The following is a 23646-nucleotide window of genomic DNA, read 5'->3' as shown; positions in this document are numbered from 1 at the left end:
TTCCACTACTTACACTAGTATCCAGACCTTCTATCCCCAAATCTTCCTATTCCATCGCACCTCTCTAACCCAGCTGAAAGAAGGATTCAGTGGTGTGAAGATGCCCTTGGGAGGGCCCTCTTTTAGATTAATTCTGGCTTTCCCACATTTTGACTTCTCAATGGCTTATTTGCATTGTTTTAGAGACATCATCGGACTTTCTCTCACTCAGAAACTGAACTTTTTCCCTTCTATCAAAATAAACATCACCTACAGGTCATGTTCGCTGATGTCATGAGTCACGGAAATCTGACTCAACTTCAGAATCTTGGTATCTATAGCAAGATTTCAAATGCACAATAAGGATGAGGTTCAGTAACCTCCATCCATTGCACTTCTATCTTTATTTTAGAGTGAATTTGGTGGCTGAGGTAGGTCACTGTGTGTTAGGCTTCTAGCCAAGGATGATCTTCAAACTATCACCAATCAGCACCGGCTGATCACAGTGGAGTATCCATCACAGAGGCTCTGATCTCTAGAGACTCTCTCTGAGCCAGACATTAACGCTTTAGCTGCTGCATCATGGGAGATGCATGACAGTCTCAGGAGAGGAGTTGGGGTAGATACGGTCTCAGACAGGCATCCAAAAGAACTTAGGGGACTGACCCTTTACCCAATGGTACAGCTATATTTTAATATTTTCACAATGAGTGCAGCCATATTAGTGGCTATTGACTGAATACTGGCTCTGCTTCTGGCGCTTTTCCCTATTGCCTTACAGCTCCTGCTCCCACTTTTCCCAGCAGATGACTCCCCTGCACTGGGCTAGTGTTGCTTCTGAAGAGAAGGGAAGAAAGGGATGACATGTAACCCTGAGGAGTTGTTCAGTCTTTCTTTGGCCTTCTAGCTCATCTGCAAGCCATCAGGAATAATGCTGTATGGCAGTGACTGCTTATCATTCATCAATATCCATTTTTCTCCTCCTATAATAACCCAACTCTGAAGTTTCAGCTGGACACATGGCTGCCCAGCCAGAGACTACATTTCCTGTTTTCCTTGAACCTCAGTGTGATCACATGTCTGTTCTAGGCAAAGGGATTGTACCATATTCAACTTGCACCTTACAGAGAAATGAGTAGGGCTTTCCTTGCCCCTTCATGCTTTCTGATGTTTAGGATGCACATAAAATATAAAGCAGCCACCTCGGATGGGAAGGGAGCTGCATGCTGAAGATGGCAGATCTGCTCTACAAGCCTGGACTCTTAAGTTCTGGACTATTACATGGGAGAGTAATGTTAAGCCTTTCATGTTTAAGCCACGCAATATTGGGAGACCTTTGTGATAGCAGCTTAGATTCCACCTTTAAAATACTGCTCATTAGTTTTACTTTTCAGTTGGCTGGGTTTCCTCAGCTTACTATCTTTACCAAGGAGACCGACAGTGGGTCTGCACAAAAGCCACCACACATACAAAATCTGTAGGGTGAAACCTAGAAACAAAATAAAAATAAAAATGGAAAATGCCTTCAGAAAATGCTAGACTTTTTTTCTTCTACAGTGAGGAATAATAGCTTTTTGGGTCTTATATCTTGTACTAGTTTCCTTTTCTCTGTGTGAGAACTCTTTTTCTACTTCATGGGACTCTTTTGGGGAATTCTATCATGGCATCCTTCTTCTCTGTCCGCAGAGATAGTCAGATGTCCCAGACTGAACCAATCATGGTGTCCATTCCAATAGTTATTGGTCCAAAGGGTAGGCATGTGACCTATTGAACCACACATACATGGGCTTCCTTGGGATTGATATGTGGATACCAGATGAAATATGGGATCTCTCTGTTTCTTTTTTCTTTTTTTTTTTGGCGTTGCTAAGCTGGGATAATATAAGCACCAATCTTGCCACATGAATTGTCCTTGGCTGGATGGAGAAAGGTCATCTTCAGTAATAGAGTATTATGTCAACACCCAGAGATAAAACAAATTGGGAGATGGGTTGAGAGAATTCTGATGGTGTTGGATTCTTGGTTCCAGACCATGTGACTTTGTTCCTGAAGCTCTCCCCTTAATTCCATGACCTACCACATGCATCTTCTCAGCTTTGCAAGCCAGTAAGTTTCTTATTTGCTTAAGCTGGTTCAAATTGGGGTTTTGTCACTTGCAGGGTTTTAATAATTCATGGTCAGTTTCCAAAACTTCTCTATAACATAATTACTAATGAATGCCCAAGTGCTCACAGATTCACACGAATTAATAAGTTCCTCATCTGGTTTAACATTTGCATTTTACCAAGGGCTTTCTAGAGCTTATACCTTGATGCAAAGGGGTCTTTTCAGTGGCAGGAACAAGTTTTAAGCAGTTTAGCAAGCCAAAAGGAGAGACATATGCTGGGTACCTAGGCTTTCTGCAGCCTGGCAAGTCATTTGGGAGAGTGGAGCAGAATCCTCAGTCTCCGTATCCCCACGGTGGTAGCTAGGAGCAGGGATTGGAGCTAATGGATGTCAGGAGCTTCTTTAATGAGCTTTCCTCCCAGCTCTGGACCTCTCACATGGGTCATTCCATTCCTGGTCCTCCCTTCACTCTACTGCAGCAAGGCATGAGTACATCGTTTAGAAGGGAATTCACCACTAAATAGCAATTGCCACCAATACCGCCACACTTCAGGGAAGGACAGTTTTGCAACTAATTACTTCCCATGGAAATACCCAAACATAATTTTGTTCATTATTAAAATTTTCCAATAAGAAATTTATCTTCCCCATTAAGTAATACATTATTCTCCTACAAAACACACAGTAAACTAGAATTACTAGCACTGCTTATATTAAATTGTTGCTTAATAAATTAAAACTCCTATGGTTATGAATAAACTAGGTCATCTGCACATTTTGTAAATTAGTAGTTTCTTGTAGTTATTCTCTCCTGGTCAAAGCCTAAAAGAGGGGGAGAAGAAAAATGATTATCATTATTATTTTACTGTTTTCAAGCAAAGTACTGCTCTTTGCACTGTAGCTTAAAATAAACCACTCAATCTAATACAGCAGAATCAATGTCGTTAAGTATCAATCAACAAGGATGATTTTTAAAGACTATGGTCTGTAAGCTTTTTAAGTCATGTTAGAAGCCATATGTACTTGGATATATAAGACCTGATGAATAACCAAACTCAGTATTTGAAGATTCTTGATGCACTAAGCATTGTCCAAAGTGACTTTAAATTATTGCTCAAAAGTTTTCTCCTCTTACAACTTTTGAGTGGGTTGAGAAACTTTTCTTTGTGATTTTAAGATAAGTCAACTTTTCCTCTGTCATCTTTTCTATTCGAGATGAATAGAGATTATTCTAGTCATATACAAAATGGTTGAAGCTACTTAAAAGTCTGTTATAAGGACTCCTCAAGTTACAAACTCCTGACTTAGGAAATCCTGTAATGCAAATAGATTGTTGCACTGTGCTTTTTTATTTTTATTTTTATTATTTTTAAATCTCCCTACCCAGTCAGAGGTCACAAGAAACAGCAACCAAGCCACACTGAGACAACTGCTCCACCTTCTGGCAAAACGTGGAATTGTTTGAACCCAAGTATTACCTTCTCTTGAAGGGTGAACATACTGCATCTACCCTGCCCCTCACCACTGCTTTTCAACAGCTGTAATTCAGTTGTTTATATTCAGCTAATCCCCTCCTCATATCTATATGCATATCTTCTTTGAGCACATCTTTCTTTGTTGTGTCTCTCTTAAACTTTTGTCCAAGACCTCAGGGATCTCTTTTTCTTTCCTGAGCAATTTTCTCCTGTTACACATAACTTCTTCCACCTCTTTTTCTCATCATGCATCAAAACAGAAACAAAAATAAAACGGGAAAAATGACAACAAAAAACCTTTATCCTGTTTAATGTATGTAAGGGTAACACTAGTAGTAATAAGGATAAAAGTCAAACACTGGAACCTCAGACAACATAATAAAGAATCAGTGTTAGCAAGCCTTTGGTGTACTCAGAAGTTTCCTTCAGTCTCTGCAAAAAGATCATCTGTTTCTAACGAAGACATTTAGGAAAAACTTTTTTTTACATGTAATTTTTTTTGTTGAGCCATTAATTTTGAAATGAATATCTTCTACCCAAATATATGGTAGTTCAGCTATGTTAAATAGGTTAGCATTATTTCTATGTGTGCGATAGGTTACAAAGAACTAACTTTCTCTATCGCAACATTCTCAAGTTAAAGACATCTTGTATTTTAAAAAATAGTTTCTCTTTTAGAAATACCCCCACTACCATGGTTAAGTATCTCTATAAATTCAGTTCTTGATTTAAAAATCAAATGATTAAGTAATTATCAAAGTAATAATTATTCACTGGAAAAATCCAAAACAATAGGTAAGTGGATAAAATTAAAAATGACACCTCTTACTCCCTTGTCTATCCCTCATCAGAAATAGTCAAGTGTTTGAAATATTTAAGATTTTTTTCCATGCAGCCACAAGCATATTTTTCCTATTTTGGAGAGGGGAAAAATTATCCATCTCCATCTGTCTATTATCTATCTACCTTCCTACCCAGTAACTTTTTCTCCCACTCATTATGGGATCCTTTGGTGTATAGGCAATTTTTTTTTTCTTTTTGAGATCGAGTCTCGCTCTGTCACCCAGGCTGGAGCGCAATGGCGCGATCTCAGCTCACTGAAACCTCTGCCTCCTGGGTTCAAGCAATTCTCCTGCCTCAGCCTCCTGATACAGGCACATGCCACCATGCCTGGCTCATTTTTGTATTTTTAAAGTAGAGACGGGGTTTCACCATGTTGGCCAGGCTGGTCTTGAACTCCTGACCTTGTGATCCACCTGCCTCGGCCTCCCAAAATGCTGGGATTACAGGCATGAGCCACTGCACCTGGCCGGCATAATTTAAATTTTAAACAAACTTTCTACCCATTACATGCTTATTTATGGTTAAAAAAAAAGGAGCAGTGGTGGAGGGGCAGGCTACATATGAAGCTGGTTCATCTGAGATCACAAAGTGGGTGAGGATGGAAGGAAATGGGAGGAAAGTTTGCTCAACTCTATGGACAAGAACTTACTAGTTCGGAGCATAAGAAAGGAAACAAAAGAAAATACTTTTCATTATGGCTTAAATATTACGAAGTTGGAAGACAAATTTTGCTAAACTTTAAAGAAATAATATCTTCTTTTTAAAAAGTACTTTCTTTTCAAAGCACAGAATCCTCTATGATTATAAAATAAGTCATTAATGCACTTTTATGTGTAGTGTGGCTCATCCTTCTGAATCTTCCGACTTTGTTTTTACATTTTGCAAACCCACACATTTTCACCTCTTTACAGTAAAATGTTATCTCATTCATGGGACCAAGAAACAATTACAGGAGACTAAAAGTAGCCATACTGTCTTTTTTGGAAATGGCTAAATGACAAAAGACAAATGCTTTCTCTTTTCTTTTCTTTTCTTTAGACCTCATTAGAAGCCAAGCAAATACAATGTCAAAGAAACACTGGACAGCCATAGCTGAGTTTATTCCCCTGGGACCGACAGATCAAGCCGAGTTGCAGCTTGTCCTTTTTTTCTGTCACGTTCCTGGTCATTTACCTTATTATGGTAATGGGCAATTTGAGCATGATTTTGATCATTAGAAGTGACTGAAAACTTCACATTCCAATGTACTTCTTCCTCAGTCACCTCTCCTTTGCAGTTCTCTGTTATACTCTCAATGTCACTCCTCAGATATTGGTTAATTTCCTATCCAAGAGAAAAACCATTTTCTTCATTGGTTGTGTAAGTTTTTTTTTTTGTTTGTTTTTTGTTTTTTTTGTGAGATGGAGTCTCGCTCTGTCGCCCAGGCAGTGACACGATCTCGGCTCAGTGCAACCTCCGCCTCCCGGGTTCAAGCAATCCTCTGCCTTAGCCTACCGAGTAGCTGAGATTACAGGTGCACACCACCACACCTGGCTAATTTTTGTATTTTTGGTAGAGACGGGGTTTCGCCATGCTGGCCAAGCTGGTCTTGAACTCCTGACCTCCGGTGATCCACCTGCCTTGGCCTCCCAAAGTGATGAGATTACAGGCATGAGCCACCATATCTGGCCGGTTTTTTTGTTTTTTAACTTTTATTTTAGGTTCAAAAGTACATACACAGGTTGGTTATGTTTTATAATTCTACTTTTTCATTGTCCTGATAATCAGAGATTATCATATGCTTACAGTGATGGCTAATGACTGCTACATGGCCATTTGCAAGCCCTTGTTATATGGTAGTAAAATGTCCAGATTTGTCTGCCTCTCTCTGGCTTCTGTTTCTTAAATATATGGCTTTGCAAACTATCTGGCACAGACCATCCGGATGCTTCTTCTGTCCTTCTGAGGATCCAATGAGATCAACCACTTTGACTGTGCGGACCCCCCTCTGTTAGTCCTCCCTTGCGCAGGTACCTGTGTCAAATAAATCATCATGTTGATGGAGCCACACTGTCTTTTGAAACCTGGATATATTTTATAGGAGATTAAACAAAAATGTTGGGATGGTAAGTTTCTAACTCAACATCCTTCCTTTGAGATGTGTCATGGAGGAAGCAGAAAGCATTGTCTTATTAGTGGCAATAATTCTTAGTTGCAACTATGAAGAATTTGCCCTGTGAACTTTCTCTGAATCATGTGCTCCCTATTGCTTGGGCATTCTTATTTTTCTAACTTGGACTGACTTTTACCAGAGGAGCATAAGACTTTAATTTGAATGCATCTTTTACTCACCACATTAATGTTTTTAGAATAATTGATTATTTCCCATCATTAGGGGAAATGGTGCCTACAAGACAACACAATGTTTACCCACCACCTGAAATACTTCCCTGGGCTGATTTTCTCCAGGCCTCTTTCTTTTTCTTTGGCTGAAGATTGAAATTCTTCCCTGATGAAAGGAATGGTCTCACTCCTATTGGTTCTGATTGATCATTTCTTCTTGTTGGAAGCACAGTATTCTTTCTTGTTCATCACTCCGTTGCCTTTGATTAATTTTATATTCTTGGTTAATTAAGTCATGAGGAGGGAAGCTAGTTTGAAAAGGAGGCTTTTTGGATGTGACATGCCAATATTCCCAGGACCACCCTCTGAAAAATCCACAAGTGGGGTCCTCATGGAATCTTTGCTCCTTCCCACTTAGCCCATACCCTGTGGCTAAAATGTACCCCAAAAGCTGAAAAATTGCTTCTCATTGGCCACCATCTCCAATAATTACTGTATTTTTAGTAACACCACAGTCTTGCAATGCCAAGCAGCCAGTGAATCTTAAAGGGAAATAATCATCTTGTAATTCAGACTGGTAGGAAGCAGTCATTTCTAATTACTTGTCATAAGAAAAGACAATGCAATTAAAGATTCTGGCTTAAAATAGAGCGTCCACACAGCCACTGCCTCTGTTGATTCATATTTTTGACTGTCTGAAAAGGCAAAGTCAGCCAGATTGACCACAGGTTTATCCAAATTGGCTTTTACCATGATGGAAGGCACCTTGAAGATGTCTTATATTTTCGGTGGGTATTATTATACAGGCTTGGAGAGCCAGTTATTCAAATCCAAGGTTCTTAGGGCTGAAAGGTTATTAAGGATTATTTTAGAATGAGATTTAGGCACACTACTAAATATGCAGTGGGTACTTAAGTATCTCAAGAGGCATATTTTTTGAGGGTTTATTAGGGTGAGTTGCTTAGAATACAAAGATAATTTGTGGCTCCATCCAAAAGACACTTTTTAGTCTTCATCTTACTTGATCTGCGTGGCAAAGACAATACTATGTGCTCACGAAGTTCTAATCACTTTTCTCTTCCTGAATGTACAAGGCCGCATTTTCTTGCCTCCCTTGTTGTTAGTTTGCAATCTGCTTCTGGCCAAATCCTTTAAGGGAAAGTGATGTGTGTCACTTTTGTGCCGAAACCTAGAAGCACATGTGTGAGCCCTCCTGCCTTCCCTCCCCCTGTCACTGTGGTTGTTGAGGTCTTATCTGCAGATGGAAGACACACAGGATGGAACCAGTCTGGACTCTTGGATCACTGCTCAGAGGTGAGTTTCCTCAGGGTCCTGCGACAGACTGAGTGTGAGGGGGGAAATCAACTTTTATTATAAAGCTGTTACCTGAAAGGGGACCTGAGCCAGATGCCAGAAGAAGGTTCTTGGACCTCACACAAGAAAGAATTCAAGGCAAATCCATAAAGTGAAAGCAAGTTTATTAAGAAAGTAAAGAAATGAAAGAATGGCTACTCCATAGGCAGAGCCAGTGGCATGGGCTGCTAGATTACTGCATCCTGTTTTATCAGCAGGGTCTTTGTGACCTGTATCTTGTGCCGACCTCCTTTCTCATCCCGTGACTAAGAATGCCTAACCTCCTGGGAATGCAGCTCAGTAGGTCTCAGCCTCATTTTACCCAGTTCCTATTCAAGATGGAGTTGCTGTGGTTTGAATGCCTCTGGCAAAGCCGCTGTGACTTTAGGGATTATTTTATTACTGCAGCATCACCTAACTTATTCTGACTCACAGTCTCTTTGGAGGCATCTGACTCTGCCAGTCTTCCTTGGATTATGCAACTCAAAGCTCTCCTGATATTCCTCCCATTCCTTTGACTTCATCTTCTCAGCCTCCCTTTGAGATTTCTTTTCCCCTTCCCAGTCTTTCAATATTGAAATTTCTTAGCTTTCTACTTTGGGCTCTCTTCTCCCATTCTGTGCTGTCTCCCTCTTTCAATGACCATCTGATGAGGACTCTTAAACGTGTATGTCTAGTCCAGTCTTCTCTCAAACGTACAGATCTCTATAAACATCTCCCCACCTATGGGATGTCTCAGGCTCAGTCCGTCCGAAATTCAACTTAAAAGCTCTTCTTCCCTCAAGCCTGCTTCTCTTCCAGTTTTTCTGTCCTCAGTGAATGGTATCATCATATGTTGTAGCATCTGCAGAGATGGCTTCAATGAATCACACCTCTACACGTTCATATCTTTGTTTAGACTCTCTCACATTGACTCTGCCTTGTCCTGTGACCCACTTTAACCGATAGAATGTGGTGGAAGTGACATGGTACTGGCAGCTTCTACTTTTGCACCTTGGGGAGACTTGAATTGCCATCTTAGATGTCCAGCTATCCTTCTGGAGAGACCCCATGGAGACAATGGGATGCGGAGTCTACATGGAAAGAAAGAAGAGGCCAAACTCTTTCAACATCCCAGCGGAGCCCAGTTTATCAGTTATCTGCACCAAGGCCCCCAGCATGTGAATGATGCTATCTTGGAAAGTCCAAGCCACCAACTAACTGCAAATACATGAGAAAGCATGAGCAAGATCAGCAGAAGAACCATCCAGCTCAGCAACATCCACTGCAGAATCATGAGAAATAATGAAACAATTTGTTTAGTCACTAAATGTTGCAGGGTTTGTTATGCAACAATAGATAAAAACCATATCCCCAGAAACCTGGAGATCATCTTTTCATTTTTCTCCTTCATCCTTCACATATAGTTCCCAGCCCCTTGGATTACACGTCCTAATCACTTCTTGAATACTACCCTTCTTTTGATAGTTTATACCATTGCCCAATCTAGATTACTATCATCTCTGTCTCTAATATTGGATCCCTCCTGCAGCTAGAGAGATCATCTACAATGCAAAGATGGTTATGACCTTTGCCAGCTGCTTAAAACCCTCTCGTGGATCTTATTGTTTTTAGGATAACATTCAATCTTCTTAATTTTCTTACAAATCTGTGCAGGCTTTGGCCTCTGCCTATCTTCCAGCCTTATTTTATGTTATTCTACACACTCTAAGCATCCTATGTTTAATTCAGTTTTTCCAGGGTGTCATGTTTCTTGAAATGACTTTTTGCTTTGGAATTTGTTCTTCCTATCCAAAATACCTTTCTCTGTTGTCACCCCTTTCCTTCCCTTCCTCCTTTTTCAAATTCCTACTCATACTCATCCTTCAGGTCTCAGTTTAAATCATTTCCTCATAGAAGGCTTCTTTCAAGGCTGGATTAATTGTACCTGCCAAGTGCTCCCATATTATTAATTAATTCTTTCATTAATCAAATTTTGATTGAGCATACACTCTAAGCCATACACTGTGCCATTCTTCCCATATAATATCACCCACCATGCTGCACTGTAATTATTTGGTTAGTTCTGTGTCAGGCCTGTAGGCTCTTCAAGGAAGAGTGCCATGTTTATCTCATTCCATTTTGTACCCCGGTGTCTAGCACATAATAGATGCTCAATAGATATTCACGAATGAATAAAAGTAAACTTAGTCATGATAGATGGTATAACTAGTGGAAGGAAATTATGATTCAATAGGTGCTGGGTTCTGATAAACATATCACTTAATATTTTATAAATTAAATATTTGGCAAGAGAAAAAAAGCTCATGGTTTGTTGGAGACAAACTACAATTTTCAGTGACAAATTAGAATCAAAACTGAAGTCCATCTGGTTTTCTGAAATCACAGTTATCAATAGATTGGAGGGCTATAGTAGAGACCATCAGCATTAAGCCAGCAGCTTTGAGTCCACACCATTGCAAACATCAGGCTATAAAGGAAGGTTAACCCCAAAGATTTACTAAATCATTTATTTCAAAGAGAGCACTGGAAGTGTCTGTGGACTCTGAAAAACAACTTGAATGCTACAAAGAGGTCCTACTAGAAATATCTTCAGCTATTCTAAAAGACCAAATATGACTAAAAAATGAATGATTTTCCAGGGTTCTCTGACCCAGTAATTGCAGTCACCCTTAGCAATGACTGCCCCTGGTTGACCACCATTAGGTAGCCTGGCAAGTGCTAGGGAGGCCAGTTTCCTTAAATAATCTGCAAAGAACTCAGATTATTGACTCCAGTTCTTGGCTCCATTTCAGGGAAATTTCCACATGAAACCCAAGGCAGCCACAAAAAGATATAGGGGCAGGTGTGTGGTTGCTCACACCTGTAATCACAGTGCTTTGGGAGGTTGAGGCAGGAGGATTGCTTGACTCCAGGTGTTTGAGACCAGCCTGGGCAATACAGCAAGACCCTGTCTCTAAAAAAAATTTAGCCATGCCCGGTGGTGCATGCCTGTAGTCCCAGCTACTTGGGAGGCTGAGGCAGGAGGATCGCTCAAGCCCAGAAGTTCAAGGCTGTGGTGAATTATGATTGTGCACTGCACTCCAGTCTGAGTGACAATAGTGAGAGTTGGTCTCTAAATAAAGAAAACAAGAACAAATAAAAAACAAAACAGAACTGCTTGAGTCTAATTCCTGATTCTCTCACTTACTAGCTGTGTAACCTTGGGTGACCTATTTCAGCTCTCTGCCTCAGGTTCTGCGTCTATAAAACGGAGATAAGAATAATGCTATCTTATTTTTAAAAAGGATATGGGGCAGACACATAGGCAAAGCCCCTTCCATGATAAACTACCTATTGGTGATCATCTGCAGCCATTCTTGTTAACATTATTGTTTCTGGCCAATGAGCTTCCTGCATTCATTACAAAGCCTATCTACTTTTAACCTTATTCCAGTTTTGTTTTCATATTAGGCATTTATGCAAGCTGTGCCAATCCTCTTTGAAAGTATGTTAGATGCAAATAAACATTTGAGATACAGTTATTTATCAAATTAAGATGCTGCAGTATATATGCCGGAAATTTTAGAGCTGTTTTCTCTGGGTGGTAGGAATATGTGTGAACTTTTATTTTTATGGTCCTGAAAAATGTTTTGCATCAAGAATTGTTTTACAAGAATTAACAACATAATAATTAGTAGAATGTTGAAGTGGAAGGGCTCTTAGCAATTATTCTGCCTAAGCCTGCCATCATACACTTGAGGGAGATAAGATCCAGAGAAGAAGTAATTTACCTAATCTCTGATGATACGTGCAAACATCAGCCACAAATGAGGTTTAGGTTCTTGTTTTCAATTAAATGCCAATGATAGTTCATATTCTCAAGAATAGGGTTTGGCTTTCTGGTTATATTGCTTTATATCTTTCCTTTACACCAAACAGACAAATTAGATCTTCACTGAAGATAAAAGTGTCTGACATCTACATTTGAACCGTAAGTTCTGTTGGGGTATTTGAATACAAGAGCTTGGGTTAGTATATTAGTTTGCCGGGGCTGCCATGACAAAGAACTACAAACTGGGTGGCTTAAACAGAAATTTATTATCTCACAGTTCTGAGGGCTAGAAGTCTGATATCAAGATGTTGACACTGTTGGTTCTTTCTGAGCTATGAGAAAGAACCTGCGATGTGCCCATACTCTAGCTTCCAGTGGTTTGCTGGCAATCCTTGGCATTCTTTGGCTCGTAGAAGTATCACCTCGATCTCTGCATCCATCTTTATATGTGTGCATATATCTGTGTCCAATGTGTGCATACATCCCTGTCAAAATGTACATCTCCCTGTTTGCATATATCTGTGTCCAAATTTCCCCTTTTTATGAAGACCACTAGTCACACTGGATTAGAGGGGCCCACTCTACTTCAGTAAGACCTCAGCTTAACTAACTATATCTGCAACAACCCTTTTTCCAAATAAGGTTGCTTTCTTAGGTACGGGGGATTGGGACTTCAACACATGAATTTGAGGGGAAGGAAGACACCACTCAACCCATAACAGTATCACACCAAAGGGGATATCATAGGGTGAATGGACTACAAACGCTCTTGGTGCCTGGTCTATTTCAAAGGAGGTCTGGACCAAGATACATATGAGGAGGCATACGTGGTTCTCAGGATGCCTGGAGGTCAGTTTCTCCTAGAGCAAACCCAAGCCCATGGTCACCTGGGAACCTTGTGGCAGCCATGCTTCAAGCCCACCCTACATTTTTTTTTTTTTGGCTTCTCTAATGAATAACTGTGTATCTGACTCCTCCAGCCTATAGGTGGTAGATAGTTCCCCTTTAGTGTGCTATTTTTTGGTGCCAGAGTGATGAACCAACTTAGATATTATTTTTGGTAAATAGGCAGGCCTACTATATCTAGACATTTAAAAAGTAAAATAACCATTATGCCAAAATGCGAAAACTCCAAATAGCAATAATCGATCCCTTCCCTGAGCCTTCATATTTCTAGGGAGTGGTCAACATTCAAGTCTGTGGCTTTGAAATTATTCAGAATAAATAGAAAGCTTGAGTTATAGAGTTTAACTACCAAGTTTTGTAAAAGCAGAAAGACTGGGAAGAGAATGAATAATTGTGTGCCAAAATTTGCTGAAATTACCTATTTTTCTTGATCATGCCATTCATCACTCTTATTTTGTAGCCAAGCATGAACTGCCTGCATTTAGCACTGGAGACATGTCCTTACTGTAAAGAGATGCACAAATAAGTCTTTTAAAATATGGTTAGAAAGTTTTAAATGCTTTAGCAGATGCCTTTGAAATACTGAGATTTATTCCTCCCGGCTGATTGAACATGATTCTGCTTGGAGTTTTTCCTTAAACCAGATAGTTTTGTTTCAGCATGAAACCAGCTTGGAGAAAATGGGTGATTCCAGGCACTAAACAGGAATTTGAGACATCCTCATCATGCTTTATGTAAGAGAATTAGCAGACGCTCATCTCAATGTGCCTTCAAAAGAGGAAACTAAGCAGACAGCCTTGTTAATTTAGCATATAGACTTGGAATACAGTACAACATCCATCATCTCATCAAAATTCAATTAAAATGTGGGTTACTGGCCAAAGAAAAGGAGCCAATTTTTTTTCCTTCTCTCTCTTTATTTATTTATTTTTCTTGAAGAAGAGTTCTTGGAACATCACTAAGCCCTTAATGGTTCTTTCATTATGGATGCCAATTTTGAAAGGGTAGTTTGAAGGTTTGAGTGGCCCCTTATGTTAAAAGTTAGAAATTCTGCCATCACGTGGTTGCTATTAATTTAAAGTGTGCTAGTGCTAGCAATGGTGGCCAGGTAAGAAGGTAATTTTAAGGTATTTCTCCTTATAGGGACTTTTGATCTAATTTAAAAACTCTTTGGATTCTACAGGATCTTCTCTTATCTGACGGGGAACGTGAACAGTGATTATCCACTTAGCCCAGATCCATTCTCTGATTTTTAAAAATGTGATTTGCTAACACATACCAGACTTCACATAGGGAGAAGGTAAGCCCACAGGTCCAGTAACAAGATTTGTGGTGTTAAATGCAATTGGGTCTCAAATTTTAAGCAGTTAAATGTCTTAATTTGTTCTTTTCTTCCCACCATAATATAATGAGGATAAACTTTGACACACAGCAGCTCTGCAAAGGGAAGATTTCTCCTTGTTCATTGTTTCTCAAATCAATCTTCTCTCCTGAAATTTGATTTTCGAAGTGCCTTACAGTCCTTAAGCCAGGTGGCTGCAATGAGTCCACTTGGAACATTCATAATCATCTGAAATAAAAGCACACTCTAGAAGCCAGATGCACTTAAGACAATCAAATGTGGTTAGTCACCAAGTAGAAATAACTCTTTTAACCTCTCTCTAACTGTGCCCTTTAGCCTACCGATTCTAGCACAGGTTGCCGAAGGGAATCACCTTGGTTTTGAAGTAAATAGTATGAATCTCTCTGGGTTAAGTACTTATGTGTCCTCTTATGCACAGCAATTCGTTTTTCTGATATTTTAGCCCAAATATTGTCAACTGAAGGCTTGTCTTGTGGCTGGGAGAAGGAAAACTATATTGTGTTTTCCAAAAGATCCATGAAAAGACTGCCTATAGAGGCTCTTTTCATCCAGGATTTAATATTTGAAAATTAAATATTATAGTATTTTTCATATCAGTTGGTCCCCCATCTCCAGGAAAGGTCAACTGAGGAAGTGATATAGTTTTTAAAAGTCAAAGAAATATAATACAATGTTAGATTTGTGGGGGGAACCATGAATTTGGATTTGACCACAATTGGCCACCTTTTGGTTTGTTTTTTTGTCTCTTAACAAAATTGTGCTGAGGCACAACTATTTCTCATTACTCAGTTAGCCCAAGGGGTAACTGGACTTAAATGTTTATGTAAGTCACATGTAAACTGAGAGGTGTTGACTTAAAAAGAGTTATCAAACTGCTTCCTCTTGTTTTTATTTCCTCCTAGATGGGAAAGTCAGGAGGTTGGTACTGGAGAACAATAAATAAGAAGAAAGGGTAAACGAATGCTATTAAATGTGGGAAAGTGTTACTAAGGAAAAACTACAAAACCAATGGAAACAATCTGAATGTGTGTCCCCTCCAAATCTCAGGTTGAAATATGATTGCCAGTGTTGGAATTGGGGTCCTGGTGGGAGGTGGTTAGATCATGGGGGCAGATCTCTCCTAAGTGGTTAAACACCATTTCCTTAGTGATACATGAGTCCTCGCTCAATTAGTTTGTGTGAGATCTGGTTGTTTAAGTGTCTGGGACCTCCCCCTCCCTCTTGCTCCCTCTCTGGCCACGTGACATGCTGGTTCCCTGTCGCCTACCGCCATGACTGGAAACTTCCTGAGGCCTTACCAGAAGCAGACACCAACACCAGGCTTCCTGTACAGCCTGCAGAACCATAAGCCAATTAAACCTCTTTTCTTTATAATTACCCAGCCTCAGATAACTCTTTATAGCAACATAAGAATGGCCTAACACACCAATTATATTCTCACATTGAAATAAACATAATAATATATATATATTGAAACCTCAAATCTAAGTACCACCCAGGATGGAATTAAAAGTATCTATGCTTATTTTAATGTGATTCTGTGGCAGAAACATAGCCTAATATTTCTGTCTCAATTGGGATACTTTCCATTGCAAGTGATGGAAAAACTGTCTGACATTGAATTCAGCAATAAGGAAATTTACAAGGTTTTATGAAACCATAGTGGTGTGAGTTCCAAAGGTGGTTAGTTTGGAGCTCAATAATGTCCTTGTGGACTCTGTTTCTTCCATCTTTTTATCTGCATCTGCTAGCTACAATGTGGGCTTCACCCTAAGGCTGGGCCCTTTAAAGTTACAGGATATCTGTCAGTACAGTTAGATCCATGTGCTTCCTCTTAATTATCCAGAAAAAAAAAAAGAATGCTTTCCTTAACTCTAACAAAAGTTCTGAGATTCCTGCTGATTGGAACATTGATTGGCTTAAACCTGGGTTACTTGAACCAATACTTATGGCAAGAGGGTGAGATTAATTTGCTGGATTACAGCAATCAGAGCCCAGCCCTGGAGCTGATGGAGGGGTTAATTCCATCTCAACAACTGCCATAGAATAAATGTTGGAAAGGCAACAGATTTACTGCTATAGATATTCTGGGAGAAAGGGAATTCAAGATTGCCTATCCTCGTGTTGTTTTTTATGACAGGCAGTAAATCATACAGTAGTAACTTTAGAGCTATTAGTAATCTCACTGTTTTTATTGAGCCCTTTTCTGACAGATACTAGAGAAGATGAGATTGTGAGGTTGTTCAATGGTCTCCTCATTCAGGTTACTCATACTTATCTTCTATGACTCACATAGATGTACGCTGATTGACATACCGGTTCAATTCAAAGCATCAAAAATAATTCTTAAATTCTATACAAGAGGATGAAGATCAATGATATTCAAACTGGGAACTACTGCAATTGTCTTACTAAGACTACCAAAATGGTTTATTAAATGGTTCACAAAAGCAAAAGATAGTTTCTTACCTTACTTTTTTTTTTTTTTTACAAAGATAAACTAAGAATTTAGATAAGGCTGATTTTTTCCTATTCAAAAGATTCTCAAAACAAAAAAATACAACGGCATATATTAAATACTCTCCTTTAAAAAAATGTTAAGTTCCGGGATACATGTGCAGAACGTGCAGGTTTGTTACATAGACAAAGGTGTGCCATTGTGGTTTGCTGCACCTATCAACCTGTCATCTAGGTTTTAAGCCCCACATGCATTAGGTATTTGTCCTAATGCTCTCCTTCCCCTTGCCCCCGACCCCTTGAGAGGCCCCAGTGTGTGTTGTTCCCCTCCTTGTGTTCATGTGTTCTCATTGTTCAGCTCCCACTTATAAGTGAGGACATGTGGTGTTTGGTTTTCTGTTCCCATGTTAGTTTGCTGAGGATTATGGCTTCTAGCTTCATCCATGTCCCTGCAAAGGACATGATCTCATTCCTTTTTTATGGCTGTATAGTATTCCATGGTGTATATGCACCACATTTTCTTTATCCAGAATACTCTTTTGATACACAAAACAAGATAATCCTTGAGACTAGAGTAGACTCTTGAGTCTAGAGAACCAGGGAGATCAGAATTCACGAGAGTTCCTTCACCACCTTTCTGAAATGTATTCTATTGTTTACTTCGTCTATTAGGGTAGACTGTCTGATGGCACTTTTTCAGTACTAACCCACTGGTAGTTGCCCGTTCTCTCAAATTCAGATTAAGGTGGATATGTGTTTTATAAAATGAGCTGAGGCCCACCAGCCCCATGGAAATATTTGCCCATGGTGCAGTGCCTGAGATTTTTGCATATGAGGTTTGACACTTTCCCTCCTGAGTGCTGAGGGAAGGTGAGAGAAAGAAAGTTAAATATGGAAACTACTTTTCTTCAATATTCTGTCTCTTGACTGCAATACAAGTCTTATTTGGGGGTATTATTATTCCATCACTGAAACCTAAGTGCTTGCACCATATTCTTGACAGTGTTCCTGATGAAAGCACTACTTTCCACTGGAAATTTCTTAGGAGAATTAGATCTTGAATAAAGAGGTCTAGTGAGTTTCAGCCATGTTTACTCTCAGCCATAGCTCCCTGGCCCTTAACTCACCTGATCCTCCACTTCCTGCTGTCATAGTTCCAGATGCAAGTCCCAACTGATTTTATTATTATTCTTAAATTTTTATCTTTGGAGACAGAGTCGTGCTCTGTTGCCCAGGCTAGAGTGTGATTTCGGCTCACTGCAACCTCTGCCTTCCGGGTTCACGCGATTCTCCTGCTTCAGCCTCCTGAATAGCTGGGGCTACAGGTGTGTGCCACCATGCCTGGCTAATTTTTTTATACTTTAGTAGAGATGGGGTCTTGCCATGTTGCCTAGGCTGGTCTTGAACTCCTGAGCTCAGCCAATCCGCCCACCTTGGCCTCCCAAAGTGCTAGAATTACAGGTGTGAGCCACTGTGCCCAGCTCCAACTGATTTTGTTACCATTCTTGTGACTGGCCATCAAGAATTTTAAAAAGGTCTAACAATTAAACAAAAACCAAAACAAAACAAAATAAAACATGTCTGCATGTTGGTAAGGTATTTGTGTGATTTCCCAAAGGTATTAATTGTCCAGTCAATGTTTCTCAGAGTGTGTACTGTGAAACCTAAGTGCTAGAAGATGTTGAGAAGAGTCTGGAATAGAGCTTCTTAATGAAATATAGTTAGACAAAGATGTTAGTTTAACAAATTTAAACAGGCTCCTGCAGAATTGTGTAGGCCTTTGCTATGCTTTCTATATCTCCAAGAAAAAGGACATGCAGTGCTTTTTACTCAGGTGTAAACATGGAATCCGTTTCTTGAAGAGCATTTCATACAACGCCCCTGAGGAACACACTTTGGAAAATGTTCATCCCTGTCCAACTACCATGTTTGCGTGAGTTTATGATCTGCCTGCCGTTCATCAGCCTTTGTTATCAGGTATCCCAGGATTCTATTCTGTGACCAAAAAAAAAAAAACTAAAAAAAAAAGGAAAAGCTTTGCCCTTTTCTTTTCAAGGAGTAATAGGATGGAATAAATACCCAAAAGCAAATTTTTCCAAGAATGTTAGGTCTAATTCAAAATCAAAAGCCTCTGATTCATCTTCATTGTTGTATTTCTGAGGGCAGAGGACATTTGCCATTAACCTCTAACTGGATCTTAAAGTCCCTTCTGCTATGTAAATACATTGAGGCCATAACAAACTTGGGAGTGGTAACACTGTGGTTTTAGACAACTGACGTCAGATTTTACTGAAGCACTTTTATGACTCACTCTTAAGATGAGGACAAATGCTACACACGTAAACTGCAAATGGAGATGAGGGTCTGGTATCAACTAGAAGTTCATGTTAAGACCTGTCTCTCCCCCATGGGAACAGAACTCTAATTATATATATTGAAAGGCAGCAGCTGAAAAGCTCACAGTCCACTCACAGAGCAGCAACATGGCCGTACAATAGCCAGGCTCTCCCAGGACTAAATACTCAAATAAATGTTCTCTTTATTCAAGCTTGGGCTACCATTTCATTGCAGAGTTTTGTTAATTCAACAAATTCTATGAAACTGTCTTATCTGGTATGGATGTAGAAGAAGGCTTTCCTTCCCTCTTTTGTAACGTTCTTATTTTTCCATATTATAAAAGCCATGTAGATGGTCAGTGTGGAGAAAACACTCAGAAGTGTTCAGATAAAAATTTTTAAAAATCTATAATTACACTAATCAGAAATAACTGCTGTCAGTATCTTGGCATATCTAATTCAATATTTTCTTTTCAGATTGGTACATATTTATTTTGCAGAGGTTCTGAGAATATTTGTAAATTCTTTGTGGCCCTAATGCTATAGGCTAGAATTTATTTCAGGGGCAGATTCCCTCTTTTCAGAAGAGTTACTCTGATAAGCATATCCAGTAATATTGATACAAGTTAAACAAGAGGTTTTTTTTCATACTGTAGCCCTGAATATTGGTAATGTAATTCCACAACCTCAACTTTTACTATATTGTTACTAGTCCTAATGCATGGTCATCCTAATAGAAACGGCTGTTTACCATATACACTAAAATATGTCCTATTTAAAATGCATGATCCTGTTTAATCCTCACAATAACACTATATGGTATGTTTTACTATTATCCCCATTTTGCAGATGAGGAAACCAAGACACAGAGAAGATAAACAACTTGCCTGAAGTCACAAATGGTAAGTGGTGGAGCTGGGATGTGAACCTGGACATCCCAACTCCAGAGTCTGTGCTCCTTCTTTAGACAGAGATGTTAATTGAGGTGTTTAGTAAGGTAAAGGCTGTCTTTGCTGTGGGCTGGCTGTAAAAATCATAGTTATATTTGCTGGCATTATTTGGATTCCTTTAGCATGTTTAAATACAAGGGTGCTCTCCTAGGGGTAGGGGTGGAGGAACGAGGGGAGGAGAGAGAGAATAAAAGGAAACTATAGTTGGGAAAAGTGTGCCTCTCAACGTGGCAGCGGGCCAGAGGCCAGGAGCTAAGGAGGAAGGATGGACATGACTCCCTGTGAACACACATGGCCAGTGGATTTTAAGAGCAATGATACATTAATTCCAATTTGATGTTTTCCTTTCTTGCCTTGTAATCTGGCTATGCTATCCTCAAGCCATATTTAAACTTATTAAACCATGAGAGGCCCCTGTTAGCTGGTCTCTGAAGAATAAAACAGTGGTGGGTTGTTTCCATGTTTGGGGCTTCGCTGGACTGAAAAGAGGGGGAATTGCATATGGAAGGAATGACGAAACAGGCAAAAGTGACTGAAGAAGAAGCCTGGGGCAGCTACTGAGCAAGAACTGTGGGAAACAAAAACCAGGGCACTCTGAAGATCAGACATAATTGCAGAAAGGGCCAGATTTCTTGTAGTCCTGTAGAATGGAGCATGGATTTATGCCTGGATATTATGGGAAGGCATGGCCCCATAAATCTTGAAAACTGCAGATGCTCGGGTTACATATATAATACAAAACATGAGACATAGTTTATATATATATAATATATACACATATATATATACACATATATACACATATATATATAAAATAGATTTGACTTATAAAACTTGAATCACGTGCATAGTTTGATATTATGGCTTTTTATTTATTTACTTATTTTGAGACAGGGTGTTTCTCTGTCACCCAGGCTGGAGTGCAGTGGTACGACCACAGCTCACTGCAACCTCTGCCTCCCAGGTTCAGATGATCCTTCCACTTCAGCCTCCCGAGTAGCTGGGACTACAGGCTCATGCCACCACAACCAGCTAATTTTTCTAGTTTTAGTAGAGATGGGGGTTTTGCCAGGTGGCCCAGGCTTGTCTTGAACTCCTGGGCTTAAGCGATCCTCCCACCTCAGCCTCCCAAAGTGCTGGGATTACAGATATGAGCCACTGTACCTGACCTCATGCCTTTTTTAAACATAGCATTTTATTGTGGGTACTTTAATAATTTAAAGTAAATGTTTTTGAAAATGGAATTTTTCAATGGCAGAATGTTATTATAAAGATATGCCATAATTTTCACAATGATTTCCCTATTGTTAGACATCTAGGATGTTTTCCAATTTTTTGCCTATGTAAATAACAATGAGACAAGGATATCTATTATCACCAATTACTGGATAGCTTAGCAATACAATATGACATGAAAAAAATGAGAACATAAAAAAAGACAAAGTAATCTTTTTTGTAGATGATGATGATTAACATAGAAAATTCAAGAGAAATGATAAACAATGTGTAGAACTAATAAAAGAGTCCAGCAAAGTTGCTGGGTCCATGATTAACATAAAGAAATCAGTAGTATTCTTGTATATGAGCAATACTAATTAGAAAAGTATAGTCTATAAATTCAATGTTCATCAAAATCCCAAGGCATTTTAGAATTTACAAGCTTATCCTAAAATGTGTATGAAAGAGTAAAGAGCCAAAAATAGCTAAGATAATTTTGAGAAAGGAAGTTTGCTGTTCTGGACAGCAAGACTTAATATAAAAATATAGTAATTAAAATAGTGTCATAATAGTGTAGACATATATGAATATATTAATGAAATGGAATAAATTCCCAGAAACAGACTCTTAGATATATGCAAATCAGTATCCCACAGGAGTGATATTACAAATCAACAGGGAAAGGATGGGTTTTTAAGGGGTTCTGGGAAAATCGACTATCCAAAGAGGAAAAACATTAGATCCCTACATCACTTGATAAAGATCCAAATGTCAAATTCAAAACTTTAAGAATTTTAAGAGTATGTAGCAGGATACCTTTATGCAAGCAATTGATAAAAGATTGGGATCTAGAATATTTACACAACCCCTATAAAGCTGTATGAATAATAAAGCCATTTGGTTGGGTGTGGTGGCTCCCAATATTTTGAGAGGATGAGGCAGGTGGATCACCTGAGGTCAGGAGTTGGAGACCAGCCTGGCCAACATGGTGAAACCCTCTCTCTACTAAAAATACAAAAAATGATCTGGCATGGTGGTGCATGCCTGTAATCCCAGATACTGGGGAGGTTGAGGCAGGAGAATTGCTTGAATCCCAGAGGCGGAGGCTGCAGTAAGCTGAGATGGCACCACTGCACTCCAGCCTGGGTGACAGAGCAAGACCCTGTCTCAAATAATAATAATAATAATAATAATAATAATAATAATAATAATAATAATAAGAAAGCCATTCAATAGGAAAATTGGCAAATGAAATGAACAGGTAATTAACAGAAGTGGAAATTGGTCCATTTGTGTGTCCAGAAGTCCAATAGAGATATGAAAATATGCCCATTTCAGCCTCACCATTAGTCAGGAGAACATAAATTTAAGCAATGCCTTCCATCAGAAAGGCAAAAAAAATTAAGAAACCAGAGATACCAACTTTTGAGTATGATGTGGGGAAATAGGATCTTCTATGCTTTGTTAAACTATTTGGAGCAATCACTTTGGAAAGCAGTTTGTCAATATTTAGTAGGGCTGAAGGTACTCATAACAAAACAAAACTTACGAATAAATGTGAAAACATAAAAAGGCAATGAAGTTGATAGCCCCTGTCTATCCTCCTTGATAGGGATCCCCTTCCTCCTGCACCAAATCCTGGATTTTGTTTGTGTTAATCTTTTGTTTTGATTTGCTCTTTTATTGTTATATCAGGTAATCCCAGAGACTATAATGCTTAGTTTTCTATTGTCTTTGAGCTTCATAGCAATGATGTTGTACTGTATGTAATTATGGGTGCCTTGCTATTTTAACCTTATATTTTCTGAGATTCACCTAAATATATGTGTATACTCTGCAGTTCACTCATTTTTCACTACTAAAATAGAATACCATAATATCCAAACGGTGCTGTGAAGGACTTTCTTGAACACGTCTCCCAGGGCACGTGGGTGAGAGTTTTCTTGAGCTTCTCTAGCGTTTAGGTTAAGGTATTTATGTTCTAGAAGTGAAATTGCTATGTCAAGGGGTATGAGCTTCATCAGCTTCACTAGATAATACAGAATTGTCTACCAATACACATTCTTTTTTTTTCTTTTTTTCCTTCTACTTTTAAGTCAGGGGAACATGTGCAGGATGTGCAGGTTTGTTACACAGGTAAATGTGTGCCATGGTGGTTTGCTGCACAGATCGTCCTTTCACCTAGGTATTAAGCCCAGCATCTGCAAGCTATTCTTCCTACTCTCCCTCTCCCCACAGGCCCCAGTATGTGGTATTCTCCTCCCTGTGTCTATGTGTTCTCATTGTTCAGCTTCCACTTATAAGTGAGAACATGCGGTGTTTGGTTTTCTGTTCCTGCGTTAGTTTGCTGAGGATAGCAGCTTCCAGCTCCATCCATGTCCCTGCAAAGGACATGATCTCATTCCTTTTTATGGCTGCATAGTATTCCATGGTGTGTATGTACCACATTTTCTTTATCCAGTCTATCACTGATGGGCATTTGGGTTGATTCCATGTCTTTGCTATTGTAAAAAGTGCTGCAGTG

General features: G+C 39.3%; 1 pseudogene; it reads left to right on the top strand.

Annotated features, from left to right (window-relative positions):
• Positions 5417-5770, top strand: OR5M14P (olfactory receptor family 5 subfamily M member 14 pseudogene; annotated as a pseudogene).

Source organism: Homo sapiens, chromosome 4 (assembly GCF_000001405.40).
Source record: "Homo sapiens chromosome 4, GRCh38.p14 Primary Assembly".
NCBI lineage: Eukaryota > Metazoa > Chordata > Mammalia > Primates > Hominidae > Homo > Homo sapiens.
The sequence above is the reverse complement of the archived record's forward strand: the minus strand, read 5'-3'. Positions and strand labels throughout refer to the sequence as shown.